The sequence below is a fragment of the Homo sapiens genome, chromosome 1 (assembly GCF_000001405.40).
Source record: "Homo sapiens chromosome 1, GRCh38.p14 Primary Assembly".
Taxonomy (NCBI): domain Eukaryota; kingdom Metazoa; phylum Chordata; class Mammalia; order Primates; family Hominidae; genus Homo; species Homo sapiens.
This window is the reverse complement of record NC_000001.11, coordinates 240,808,026-240,822,399: the sequence shown is the minus strand read 5'-3', so window position 1 is coordinate 240,822,399 and position 14,374 is coordinate 240,808,026. Positions and strand designations below refer to the sequence as shown.

At 38.3% G+C, this 14,374-nt stretch overlaps 1 protein-coding gene across 22 annotated transcripts in view; it reads left to right on the top strand.

The window, feature by feature from the left end:
* The window catches only part of RGS7 (regulator of G protein signaling 7), a 582,489-nt gene that overhangs the window by 534,831 nt on the left and 33,284 nt on the right, over window positions 1-14,374 (top strand). For 20 of the 22 annotated variants that reach the window (NM_001374806.1, NM_001374811.1, NM_001374814.1 and 17 more), the window contains 4 exons: window positions 5,985-6,083; window positions 7,623-7,684; window positions 8,672-8,782; window positions 10,357-10,482. In NM_001374806.1, coding sequence (NP_001361735.1) covers window positions 5,985-6,083; window positions 7,623-7,684; window positions 8,672-8,782; window positions 10,357-10,482 — 398 coding nt within the window. The remainder of the gene's footprint in view (window positions 1-5,984; window positions 6,084-7,622; window positions 7,685-8,671; window positions 8,783-10,356; window positions 10,483-14,374) is intronic. The other 2 variants (NM_001374816.1, NM_001374815.1) reach the window with 1 other exon arrangement.

The following is a 14,374-nucleotide window of genomic DNA, read 5'->3' as shown; positions in this document are numbered from 1 at the left end:
TTCGTACAGAGCTGCTTCAATTCTGCCATCTAGACATCCCCTGCCTGTTTTTCTGTTGTTGTTGTTTTTTAATACAGTAAAATAAGTGTTTTTCAAATCTGTACATCTTTTTGTGGGACAGCGCTTCTTTTTTAAGAGTAAATATCCTTGTTCTTCAAAACAACAAACAACAACAAAAAAGGCAGTCTGGAGACAGAATCCCTTCTTGCTCAGGGGAGGTCAGCCTTTGTTCTATTAAGGACTTCAACTGATTGGATGAGGCCCACCCGCATTGTGAAGGGCAAACTGCTTTACTCAAAGTCCATTGATTTAAATGTTAATCCCATCCAATAAACACCATCAAAGAAACATCCACAGTAATGTTTGTCCACATATCTGAGTACTATGAGCCAGCCAAGTTGACACAAAATTCACCACCACAGGCTGTATCCTTCTGTAGGACAATAGCTAGAGGGGTCCTAGGTCACAAAACCTGAGGGAAATGATAAGAGCATCTGCATGTATGTGTGATTGGACCCACACTTTGGGCTCCCTCCTGTAACTTAGCACCCATATTTCAAAATAACAGTAAGCTATTTCCTATCCTGTTCTCTTTTTCCTCTGTCACCTTCATTTGGACATCATGGCACTAAATATTACAGTTAACAGCATCAGTGAAAAGCTAATGTGCACATCCTAGAAAAACAACAGCAAATGTATAATTAGCTGTCTGGTTTTCCTGCTATTAATAATCCAGTGGTTCTAGCTGTTTCTGCATAAAATATGGACATGTCTTCAACTCCATATACAGCATGTGTACATTTAAATTTTAATGTGTTACTGAACAGAATAAACTACTCTTGTCTTAGAACAACACAAAAGTGTGTCAAGTAAAGGGTATAGTAAAGGTGCAGGCAATAGAAACTGCTCAAATGAAAATGAATAAAGAGGGGAGTTTTCTTTTTTTGAAATGGAGTCTCACTCTGTCTTGCCCAGGCTGGGGTGCAGTGGCGGGATCTCGGCTCACTGCAGCCTCTGCCTCGCAGGTTCAAGTGATTCTCCTGTCTCAGCCTCCCAAGTAGCTGGGACTACAGGCATGTGCCACCACACCCTGCTCATTTTGTATTTTTAGTAGAGATGGGGTTTCACCATGTTGCCTAGACTGGTCTCGAACTCCTGACCTCAGGTGATCCACTTGCTTCAGCCTCCCTAAGTGCTGGGATTACAGACATGAGCCACCACACCCGGCCAAGAGGGGACTTTTCTGATTCATGGTCTGAAACCTTGTGGCAGGCAGTGGTCAAGCTTGCCCAGAGGTGTGAGTCGACCCAGCTCTCTCATGATTTCTCTCTCTGGTTGCCTTCTCTCTGCTTCTTTCTGTGTACTGACTTCCTCCATATTGTGTCAGATATGGTCACAATCTGTTCTCTAGCTCAGCTGAGCAACCGTGAAAGAAAGAGAAATACTACCACACCAGTCAGTCAGAAAAGCCCCAGAGATTACATTTCACATAGAAACACAGAAAGGCTTCTTGTACTTTGTGGTTTCTATTTTACTGTCTCTGACTTAGTTCTTGGTCTGTTTGAGTTGCTGTGACAAAATATCTTAGACTGGGTAATTTATAAACAACAGAAATGTATTGCTCACAATTCTGGAGTCTGAGAAGTCCAAGATCAAGGCACCAGCAGATTTAATATCTTTCGCGAGCTCACTCTGTGCTTCAAAGATGGTGCCTTCTCGCTGTGTCCTCACATCGTGGAATCGGCAAACGAGCTCCCTCAGGCCTCTTTATAAGGGCACTAATCCCATTCACAAGGGCTTCACCCTCATACCTAGTCACCTCCCAAAGTCCCCACCTTTTAATACCATCACATTAGGGGTTGAGGATTTCAACATAAGAATTTTGGAGAGACACAAACATTCAGACCATAGCAAACCCCCACCCCCTGCCTAAAAAAAAAAACGGGATAATTTTTCTAGTTCTCTTCTAAAATGTCAAGGGAAATCACACATGAACAGATTTATGTAGGAGGCCGAATCTATTTTATTTAATGAATAAATAGATGGCACTGCATATGAAAAAGTGCTTGTCTTAGCACCATAGGAATAAAGGAACGTGTTAATCAAGCCAAAGCATTGCAAATAAATGATCTTGCTATTAAAACTAAAAATGGATCTCAATTAGTTAATTTGATTTTCCCCAGCTGCAAATATTAAGACATTAAGAGATTTTATTTCTCTTCCTCTCTAACCTTACCTGTTTCTAGTTCTATGCCACCCCACCCTGTACCACGATTTGAATACATTTTTTTTCTAAAACATGCAAAGCCTTTTACATTGCAAATAATTTTCATAATTTGTCTGCCAAAATAGGATTAATCTCTTTGCCTCCTTTGTCCATAAAATAATCCCCATATGTAAAATTATATTCTTCTCGGCTGTTTTCATTGTAGCCAACAATCAAAGTTAAACGCTATCACTATCCCCAGGAAATGAACAGTACTCAGATTGGTGAAAGGGAGACTTCCTGATGTTGACTTTTACGTAAGACAAGAAATGGAAACTCTGCAGTAACTTCAGAGCAAGTAGCCAGGCTCCTGGAAGATGTTTTAAGCAACACCTCCCAATGGTTTGGGTCATGGTCTCTTATGGGACCTTTGTGTTTTTGTTTTGTTTTTTTTGTGGAGATGGAGTCTCACTCTGTTGCCAGACTGGAATGCAATGGTGCGATCTTGGCTCACTGCAGCCTCTGCCTCCTGGGTCCACGTGATTCTCCTGCCTCAGCCTCCCAAGTAGCTGGGACCACAGGCACATGCCGCCATGCCTGGCTAATTTTGTATTTTCAGTAGAGATGGGGTTTCACCATGTTGGCCAGAGTGGTTTCTATCTCCTGATCTCATGATATGCCTGCCTCAGCCTCCCAAAGTACTGGGATTACAGGCATGAGCCACCACGCCCGGCCTCGTATCGGACCTCTATGAAGTTTACAGGAAATGCATAAATGTTGAAATCATTATAGAAATGTAGAGATAAAAGATAACTTATAGATCATTTTACTTTCATGATACCACAAATTGCTGTGTTTTTCTAGCAGTCTTTTATGTTATTTTTTTAATCTTCGCCTAAAAACTTACTGTTAAAACCATCAGCTATTTTTTATAAGCACTGTTTATATGACCTGTAGATTATTATTTAAAAACTTTAAATAATTAAACCAAGTTAAAAAAGAATGGAAACTTCAAGTCTCAGAGTCTTTTTATTTTTCTTCTCAAAAATTAAGGTGATACAGTTGAAAAACTAGCAGATACTGAAAGGTAGAACTATTATATAATTGGTGATCTTTCTGTTGCCTAATTTTAATTGACAAATAATAATTGCACATATTTATCGGGTAATATTCAATAAACATATATACCATGGAATGAACAAATCAGAGTAATCAACATATTCGTCACCTCAAATATTTATCCTTTTTGTGGCAAGAACATTTAAAATCCTCTCTTTTAGTTACTTTGAAATATGGAATACATTATTATTAACAATAGTCACCTTGCTGTCCAATAGAACACCAGAGCTTATTCCTCCTAACTAACTAACTTTGTACCCGTTGACCAAGAGCTTTCTTTTCCTCACCCCCTATCCCAGCCTCTGGTAACTGTCACTCTACTCTCTACTTTAGCTTTTTTATATTCCACATATAAGTGTAATTCTATGGTAAAGACCTCTCTGCCTAGCATATTTCACTAAACATAATGTCCTCTAGGCTCATCCATGTTATTGCAAATGACAGAATTTCTTGTTCTATAAAGGCTGAATAGTGTTCCATTATGTATATAACACATAATTTTTAAGAAATCAACCTCTACTGTTATTTCAGAATTCAGAAGGTTGTTTTATTTAATCATGTTCAAATATGGCTAGTATCAGTTTGGGCCATTTCCATTCCTTCAGTGTAAATTAAATCACTTTATATTCCAGGCCCTATGCTTGTTATTCTTTTTTGTTTCATAATACTGCTCCCTTTTTTAGTCATATGTTTATTTGTGTAATTACCTGTGTAACTTCTTTCCCTTCCACTGGATTGTGAGTCCCAGTGCAGAAAGAAGCACATCTATTTTGTTTATTTGTATTTCCCTAATGCTTAGTACTATATCTAGTATATAGTAAGTGTTCAATAAATGTTGAATGAATGAATGAATGAGTGAAAAAATAAATGAAATAAAAGGGCTAGTTTAAGACATTCAGCTCCGTCCTGTTCAGAGTAAATTCAAAGCATATGAGCAAATCCTTGTGTTGAAATGGATGGCCATTTCCTGCCTCTTGTTTGGCATTATAAAAAAAGAAAAAAAAGAAATGGATATCCTCAGTGATGGGAATTGGGTTCCAAGGTTCTGGTGGTAGGGCAAGAAAGGACACTGAAGAGGCCTACCCAAGATAGTCTGGGAATAGATTATTCCAATGATTAAGTCCAAGTTAAAATCTATAAAGAAAGGATAAGAGCACCAAAAAAAGGACGGAGGCCAGGCGCGGTGGCTCACGCCTGTAATCCCAGCATTTTGGGAGGCCAAGGCGGATGGGTCGCCTGAGGTCAGGAGTTCAAGACCAGCCTGGCCAACATGGTGAAACCCCATCTCTACTAAAAATACAAAAATTAGCCGGGTGTGGTGGCACGTGCCTGTAATCTCAGCTACTTGGGAGGCTGAGGCAAGAGAGTCACTTGAACCCAGGAGACGGAGGTTGCGGTGAGCCAAGATTACGCCACTGCACTCCAGCCTGAATGACAGAATGAGACTCTGTCTCAAAAAAATAAAAATAAAAAGGACGGAGGGCGGGAGACACAAGGGCAAAACCACATCCAAAAGGTGCAGATACAGAGTCAAGACAGATACAGAGTCAAGACGTAGTGTTAAGTGGATTTAAGGTCCAAGTGAAAGCAGTTCAGGAATAAAAACACATTGAATTTAGAGATATTGGCAAGCTTGGTGACGGGCCTGAAAATTGGCATCATTAGGCATCTGGATCTAACCTCATCTAATTTCAAAAGTGTCTTTGTAAACTTTATCTGGTACTAATTTTGTGGAGCTCATGCAGTTTTATTATGCCCTCATCCTTCTTGCTCATATCCAAAGAAAAAGTGCTCAATAACACACATTAAATTCTTTATTTTAAAGGAATAATACTTTGATATCCAAGAAGAAATAATTTGGCTTCTTCCTTGAGTTGACACGTGAGATGTCTCATAGTCAGTTACAGATAGTTTTTTATCCCTTTAGTCACCAGATCTTTATTTATACTTACTAAGCAATGGGCCTTTCTCAAAAAAGAGTCTTCCTAAGTAGTAGGTCTGACCTTTTGACAAGTTAATTAAAAAATACAAGGGTATTGAGAATTCCGAAGATGCATGACGCCTCTGGGGTCACTGATGTTTGCAAATGGCACCCAATGGCAAGGCTAGTGTTGTGAAGTAAATAACCCACTGTTGATATGGAGAGTAGGAGTACCCTGGTGTCTTCTATTGCACCATCAGAAATCAAATCAGCAATAGAATTCTTGACTTGTCACTCTCCTCAGTGCCCCATTTAATTCCTATGTAAAATATCGAGTTATTTTTAAATCTTCTTTTGAGTTATTGCATTCCTATTCTATTCTTCATCCACCTCTCTATTTTCTTAAATCAATGCTTATGAAATGTTAGTTAGTGTTGACATTCTCCAACTTGGTATTCCCAGCTTGCTCTCAAATTTTATCACATGCACCTTGCTCTCTACATATAACCAATTATTCTGTCAAAGTTAATAATCTAACTACACATTTTTTCCGAGCTGTGCTTCTATTTTATATGCATTTGATTTTTATCTTAGCAGTGCCTTTTGAATTTTGTTAAGAAGCTTAATCAAATAAGCTTTGAGAGACCTTACTGAATTTATGCTAGAGTTACTTTTTAGAAAGTCTGTGACTGTAAACGGTATTTTGTCCTAAAATGTTTATTTTTTATTTTAATATAGTCTGTCTATGGTTTACAAAATGATATTAGAAGTCACAGTCCTACCCACACACCCACACCAGAAACTAAACCTCCAACAGAAGATGAGTTACAACAACAGGTGAGTCAACCTATGAGATGACCTGTTAAAGGTTTACAGAGTAACAGCTATGAAAACCAGAGGGTAAATGTTAATAGTGGGTATTTTTATAGGTTATTTGTATGACTGACTGTTTCATGTGGAAGATTTGCAGTTAAAAGATAATAAAATGTTGTAATTTTAAGTATTGTAATTACTTGAAAATGTATCAATATATGGTAATGGTTTTCAAAACCCCTCACTCTTTATTTACCCAAATCCTTGTTCCTCTAACCAATTGTAAAAATCACATATGCTGATTTGTAAGTGACTCCATCATCAATAGTTACTTTGTACTCCAAAGCTCTCTTTTAAAGAGTAAGAGGACAAGAGGTTGAGAACATTGTCACACTTCCCACATCCAATGATAGGACATTTTCTTCACAAGAGTGCTTACTCTCGCTTTCTGCAGTGCTGATTTCTCTCTACCTCTTGAAGTTTTTTCTTATCACCACTGGCGTACAGCCATGGAGTCATGCTATACACTACCTCTTTTTTTTAGCATTTGATCAATGGTGTTGACTCCAAGTAATATTTCAAAGCAAACTCCAGTGTCTGAAATCAAATAATCTCATGATTGGTTCAGTTATGGGGCTTTATTCTCATTTTGACTCTTTTCCTCTGATATTTTATTATAATATAGTTTATCAAGAGTGTAAAATATACTTTTCTAGTATATTTACAATAATCAGGAAGGAAAAGTCATTCAGAGCGTTTTTAATTAAAGTTTTCTGTGTGTGATTATTCCATGTGAGCATTTGTCATGAATTGTTGATAAAATTATTCTCAAAACACATATCATTGATACTTTCTTGGTATTAGGAGATAGGATTTATTTTGAAATTATAGTAATAAATACATTTATTTTCTAAATTTGGAGGGAAGTATGATTCTGGATTTAGGTATTCACCATGAATGAACGTTTAAAATCTCTACAATTTTATTTTTTATTTTTTTGAGACAGAATCTTGTTCTGTCACCCAGGCTGGAGTGCAGTGGTGTGATCTCAGCTCACTGCAACCTCTGCTTCAGAGTCCCAGGTGATCCTCCTGCCTCAGCCCCCAGAGTAGCTGGGACTATAGTACCTGCACCACTACACCTGGCTACTTTTTGTATATATTTTTTTACAGACAGGGTCTCACTATGTTGGCCAGGCTGGTCTCGAATTCCTGGGCTCAAGTGATCCACCCACCTTGACCTCCCAAAGTGCTAGGATTACAGGCATGAGCCACTGCACCCAGCAAAATCTCTACAATTTTAAAATAAAATCACATTTTGTTAAAGTAGGCAGAATGGTCAAACTCATTGCTCTTCTAAAGTGATATCAATTGTGTTCAAATTCCAACATTTCATTTTGTTAACTCTTTAAGAGCCCTCTGCTTCTATTTTTTTAACCAACTTTGAAATTGTACTGACGTAGACTATACTCTTGTTCAGAATTGCCCAGCTGATCATGATTTAGAGTGGAAAATTGTGAAAATGTCATTACTTATGTAACTCCTTCTCTAACCCTCTTTTCAGATAAAATATTGGCAAATACAGTTAGATAGACATCGGTTAAAAATGTCAAAAGTCGCTGACAGGTGAGTATTTCAAAGTGTCTGTATAAATTTTAAAATTTCATATGACAATTACATGTGTTTAAAAATGAAAGAGAACTGTGGGGACAGGAGTTGGGACAGATAATTGGAATCCTGTAAGTAATGTGATTTTGTTTTCCTTTTTGCACATAGAAAAACTTTCAAAGAACTCTTTTGATGTAGTTTAAATGACAGAATGATTATAATTGTCTTAAATGTCTAGACATCCAGTCCTTGTTCCACTAAGAATCAGATATAGAGGATAATTCTGCAGAGTCTAGCCTTTTCACTCCTGCTGGAAGACATGAAACTTTCCATTTATTGATGACCTTTGGGCAAACTGGAGCCTCTCTATAAACTTATTTTAACAATGACAATTGACACTGTTCCTGCCTGACTTCAGAATATGAATGAAACTCAAATTTCAGATATTTTCCTTTGCTTCATTTAAATCTGTTCTTAATGCCATTCATATTCTTCACTTTTGGGCATTGCCAAATCCTACCTCCCCAACTTCTTTCCCTTCTCCCTTTTTAAAATTTTTATATACATTTAAAAAACTTGTCAGTGGCTCCCATTTTACTTAATTCCTGTAAATACTTTTGACAAAATTTCCCTTTTAAGCCCTTCTCTCAGTTGTATAAAATCTGTTCTGCTGTGGGTGGACTGATTAACCAAAGATTGGAACTGACTCTTAGCGGTGCCCTTCACACACTGACCTCTTCCATAGTGCTTCATGTTAACCAAGGGATACTGATTTACATGGCTTAGGCATGGGTAGAGATGGAATCTTTAGCCACAGTTGTCTGCCAAGAAGCACAATAAGTTGTTGCATGAAAGTTACTGAAGCGTGAAGATTGCCATTGGATTTCATGCTTTAAGTGAACAAGGATTCCTTGGTCCCACATTTTTATATTGTTTTCCCTGCTTTGGACTGGCTGCAACCCCAGTCAGAAAACTAAAGAAACTGGAAATGTTTTTTCTCCTTAGTCTACTAAGTTACACGGAACAGTATTTAGAATACGACCCGTTTCTTTTGCCACCTGACCCTTCTAACCCATGGCTGTCCGATGACACCACTTTCTGGGAACTTGAGGCAAGGTAGGTGGCATTTTATCTTTCTCGCCCATATGTTGCTTTATTTCAGGGTCTGAGTGAAATGGGAAGGATTTTATTGTTGGCTAATTGTGAATGTAATTTTGTTCTTTATCTACATTGGCCTATATCTAACATTCTTGTTCGAGATCATGGCTTTTGAAACTTAGACATTTGCATTTGCATTAAGATTTGCATTTGCATTAAGATTTGCATTGCTGGAAAGACCGTCCCAAAATTAGAGGTGCAATTAGTCAGAGTTAGGATCTTCAGCTCTTGAAATTTAGCTCATTGCTATTATCTTCCTGGAAAATTCACGTAGCCACAAAGTCTCATGTAGTCAAGTAAAGTGAATGCTAAAGCCATACATACTTAAGCCCAACACAAGTATGTCTTTATAAATTCAATTTTAAGACAGAATGAGCTTACCATAGACACTGTAAGAGAAACTGGCAAGACACTTCCTAAGAAAAGCAAAGCACCACTTAGGACTCCATAGTTTCTTTCATGAGCTATCTAGGGAAAGAACTACATCATCAGTCTTAACAGACTCATAAGAGGATCATGGCGTATCACTTTACAAAGAAAAGATGGGTGCTCTGTCACACTTCTAGCAGTTCTCTAGATTGCATTTCTGGTCTCTCTCACTTTTGCATCCAGCCATGAATCTTAAACACTGGACATGCCCAGAACTCTTCCTCCACAAGCTAAAGATTTTATAGATGAGAAAGCTGGAACCCCAAAATGTTGTGACTCAGTTGGGATTAGGTCACAGATTTAATTGACACCAGAATCATTAGCTAGTATTGAGATCTTTTGGTTACCAATGCATTTTCCCCAGTTCAATATACCTGCATGACCCTGTGTGGCGTAGTGGTTAAGAAATGTGTGCCTGGCATGGTGGCGCACACCTGTAATCCCAACACTTTGGGACGCTTTGGTGGGTGGATCACCTGAGGTCAGGAGTTCGAGACCAGCCTGACCAAAGTGGTGAAACCCCATCTCTACTAAAAATACAAAAAGTAGCCGGGCATAGTGGCAGGTGCCTGTAATACCAGCTACCCGGGAGGCTGAAGCAGGAGACTCTCTTGAACCCGGGAGGTGGAGGTTGCAGTGAGCCGAGATCACGCCATTGCACTCCAACCTGGGTGACAAGAGCAAAACTCCATCTCAAAAAAAAAAAAAAGAAAAAAGAAATGTGGCACTGGGGTCAGAATATCTGGATCTTTACCCCTTATTACTTGCCTGACATTGGCAAGTGATAATACTGTGCCTCACTGTCCTCATCTGGAAAATAATAAGATTAATAGTGGCTATCTCATAAAGTGGTTGGCAAAAACAAAAAGAGACCATTTATGTAAAGTGCCTGGCACATAATGCTCAATAAATGTTAGACTTTATTATTAATACTAATGTACACGATGATTTCATGCAGAGCCGTTAATCGGATATATATATTTTTAAAGAAAAGGTAAAGATGGGAACTTCGAGGCACACATGATTTTGAAGGGGAATGTAATAACAAAAAAATGGGAATTCTAATGAAAGGAATGTATTTGCCTTTGTTTTATCTTCTATAGCAAAGAACCGAGCCAGCAGAGGGTAAAACGATGGGGTTTTGGCATGGACGAGGCATTGAAAGACCCAGTTGGGAGAGAACAGTTCCTTAAATTTCTAGAGTCAGAATTCAGCTCGGAAAATTTAAGGTAAAACACATTGCTTGGATCTTATAAGCCAGAGAAATACTGTCTGTGATGTGTCTGGTTATTTTGGAGGTAATAGATCAATTATTCTTCCACTAACATCATAATGATGTCATGAACCCATTGAATTTCTGCCACCTAATGAAGGGAAAAGAGATAGCAAGGCAAAGGCTGTCCAACGTATCAATTTCTTATAACTTATTTTTACGCCGTCTCTGTATCTCCAGATGTTTTAACTATACAAATTTGGTGGCTTTGAAATGGACTCTGTAAAGAAATGCAGTACAGAGAACAATGTTTGGCAAAGTGGAGATTGGCCAATAACATTTATGAAGTTCAATTAAAATATCACCTATTTGTCATTGTTGACTATCTTTGCGTATCACTTCTCAAGCAAGTTAGAGAAGAAGAGACTGGGCAGCTATATCAAATAACTTGAAACCAAACTATTGGGCTGTCTCATTCTCTTTGCATGTTTAAATAATAGCCACAGGGCAATTGAGAGCAGCACAGCATTGAGCTGTTCGTGAGAGAGTGACACCCATTCTGCCCATCTGTTGTAAACATCATCTTTATATATTTTTAAAACTTGCTAACATAAGGAGGATCTGAAAATTGCATTTTTAAATATAAGACATTAGAGTGGATTTTAATAGCTCTATTTAACATCATTGAAGGGAGTGATAACTTTCCACTATATAAGACTGTTGTTTCATGAGTTCTTTCATTCATTATTCTTTTGAAAGCTGATGCCCAATTTTTACTTTTCCATGACTTATGCAGTCCTGTAAAATTCATTTACTGAAAGTTCTCTGCATTCATTTATTTTCATTGGAACGAAGTAGTGCCAGGCATGGTCACGTTCTTTTCAGGAGATTTAACAGGTAGGAATCCCAAACCATTCAGAAAGATGTAGGACGCTGACACATGTCGCATGGATGAAGCAAAATGACCACAGACAGAACCCGGAGGAATGTAACTCTCTGTGTGTGCCTGGCATGGATTGCTGGCATGCAGCTTCCTATTCTCCTTCCAGTTTATGGGAACCCTTCATGCTTGGGCTTTTGCAAGATCTTGCTGCTAAAGTTGCTAAAGTTCTGTATTGAGACTACTAATAACATTTTCTATATTAGGTCACATTGTCAATAATTGAGTGCAAGAATTCATTAAAAGGCTAGGTGCGAGGGCTCACGCCTATAATCCCAGCACTTTGGGAGCCGAGGCAGGTGGCTCTCTTGAGGCCAGGAATTTGAGAGCAGCCTGGCCAACATGGCAAACTCCATCTCTACAAAAAATTAAAATTAAAATTAACCGGGCATGGTGGCACATGCCTGTAGTGCCAGCTACTGGGGAGGCTGAGGAATGAGAATCGCTTAAACCCAGGAGGTGGAGGTTGCAGTGAGCTGAGATTGCACCACTGCACTCCAGCCTGGGCAACAGAGCAAGACTCTGTCTCAAAAAAAAAAAAAAAAAAAGAATGCATTAAAAATAAAGCAGAGATAAAGGATCCTTGAGGCATTTTAGTGGCTAGGGAGATGGACATTCCTCTCATTCTCTAAGTTTTTGAAAACATGCTGATATCATTTGTATCATCATGAGTAAATAAATAAGTAATAAGCCTTACCAGCCTCACCTAGCCAAATAAAAACATCGCCTTCTCTCATTAAAATTACAGTCTATTGGTAGATACAGACAAGAAAACAAATCACAGCACAAAATCATGGGTGTTTAGTTGGGAGAAGCAGAGAGGGATGCCTAGCCCAGAGTTAGAGATCAGCGAAGGGATACTAGGGGAAATCGCTTCTAGGCTAAGAGCTGGACAATGGGGAGGAGATAAACCATCAAAACAGGAAGAGAGAAGATGCCTTTGGAAAAAGAGGATAGCATGTGCATACTAGGTTTCAGGCATGAATTGAATTCCTGCCAATTTCTTAGTTCAAGCTTTAATCATTTCATATCTTAATCATTCTATGCCGTACTAGACTCTAGGCTAAGTGATTATATCTAAGAAATATTAGATTATCTTATATATATACACACACATTATATACATACACACATATACATATATTTCTTGAGTATCTACTATATTGCCTATCATATGTTTCCTTAGTAAGTATAGATCAGTAGATAAATGAAAGATGTAGATTAATTCTTGAATACCTACAAGACACCAGAATATATTTTATATCTACTACTTTTATAAGTATGCTGTTATATTTTGCATTCATTATTTCTGATCATCACACATCCAACCACCAAAACAACATAAAATGTAAATATTGCCTCATTTTATAGATGAGAAAAGCGTGGCTGAGGAAGGTTAAGCCGAGAAAGTGTGGCTAAGGAGGTCAGATTGCATGTAAGTGGCATTCTTGGTTTCCTACAAACCAGTACCAAGCTACTGTCCACTGCTCCCCAAATCTGAGCCCTACTCTGCTTCCACTGACATATCTGTGTCACACACTGAAGGAGACAAAATGGTCCAGTGGTCAACAGGGCTGTGAATTGCACTTAAAATAAAATAACTCTCCGTGCATCTTACCTAAACAGCTGCCCTCCTGCTATCAGTGAGTGTGTCACTCGTCTGAGCATTTTTTTTCAAATATTAGGACAGGAAAAAAATAAGAAGCACTGTTTCTCGATAACTACTTATGCTTCAAATATACCCTCTGCTCTCCCTAATAGAGAGCAGAAACTTGAAATTTTATGATGTATTTCCCTCATTCTTTTTTTTGAGCAAAACACATAGCATAGAGCAAGTGCTAAGAAAACATAGTAATATCATGAGTTTTTATCTTTGAGTGACTAAAAATATGCCAAGTACTTTTCAGTGCCTTCTATATAATTTATATCATTAGTATACATTAACGGAATTAATTTAATCAACTAATCCAATGGAAACCAATTAATCCAGTGGAAACCCAGTGAAATAGGCGTTATCATCCCATTTTACTGATGAGGAAATCAAGAATCAAAGACATTAAAAATACTTACTTAGCTTCCACCTATATAAAGGATATAGGATTTTTTTTTTTTTTTAAGAGAGATGGGATCTTTCTCTGACACCCAGGCTGCAGTTCAGAGACACTGTCATAGCTCATAGCAGCCTTGAAATCCTGGGCTCAACTGATCCTCCCACCTCAGCCTCCTGAGTAGCTAGGACCACAGGTGCAAGCCATTGCACCTGGCTCCTCCATGCTATTAAGCTATTACAATAATTACAGTAATGGTGAGAATAAGAAAGGCAATGATGCTGTTAGAAAGACCGTGTGAGGGAGTGGTTGTGAGCATGTCATCTGCTGCAGATCTTCTGGGAGCAAACCTCAGCTGTGACAGTAATAGTGAGCAACCTTAAATAAGCAACTTAATCTTCATATGCTTAGTTTCCTCTTCTCTAAAATGAGGGAAATAATAGAACTTGCCTAATAGAATTACTGTGGGAATTAAATGAGTTAATATAGGTGAATCACTTAGAGCAGTGCCTGCACTTACATAACAGTGTAGGTGTGGTTATTAACTTCTCAACCCCTTTATATTTTATGCTTATTTCCAGGCCCATTTCAGATGTCACTGGATTTAGAATAGCTTTGTCTAGATCCCCCTTTTCCAATCCAGCACTTGCCCCAGCAGAGGGGCTCTTTCCTGCTTGCCTTTCCCAGACCGTCTAGTTCGTTCTCTTCCTAGAGAGCCATTCATGTACTTCCTGGTGTTACGGCCAATTAAATGGTTTATCTTTTTCTCTACTCATTCTTTGAGGACAGAGACTGTTTTGATTGATGTGTTCAGAGTGTGCTGGCATGAACTTGCCTGAGCATATGTTAATTTCAACACTTCTGCTCCCTCGGATTATGCGTAGTATTCCCTTTTTTTTTTTTTTTTTTTGAGATGAAGT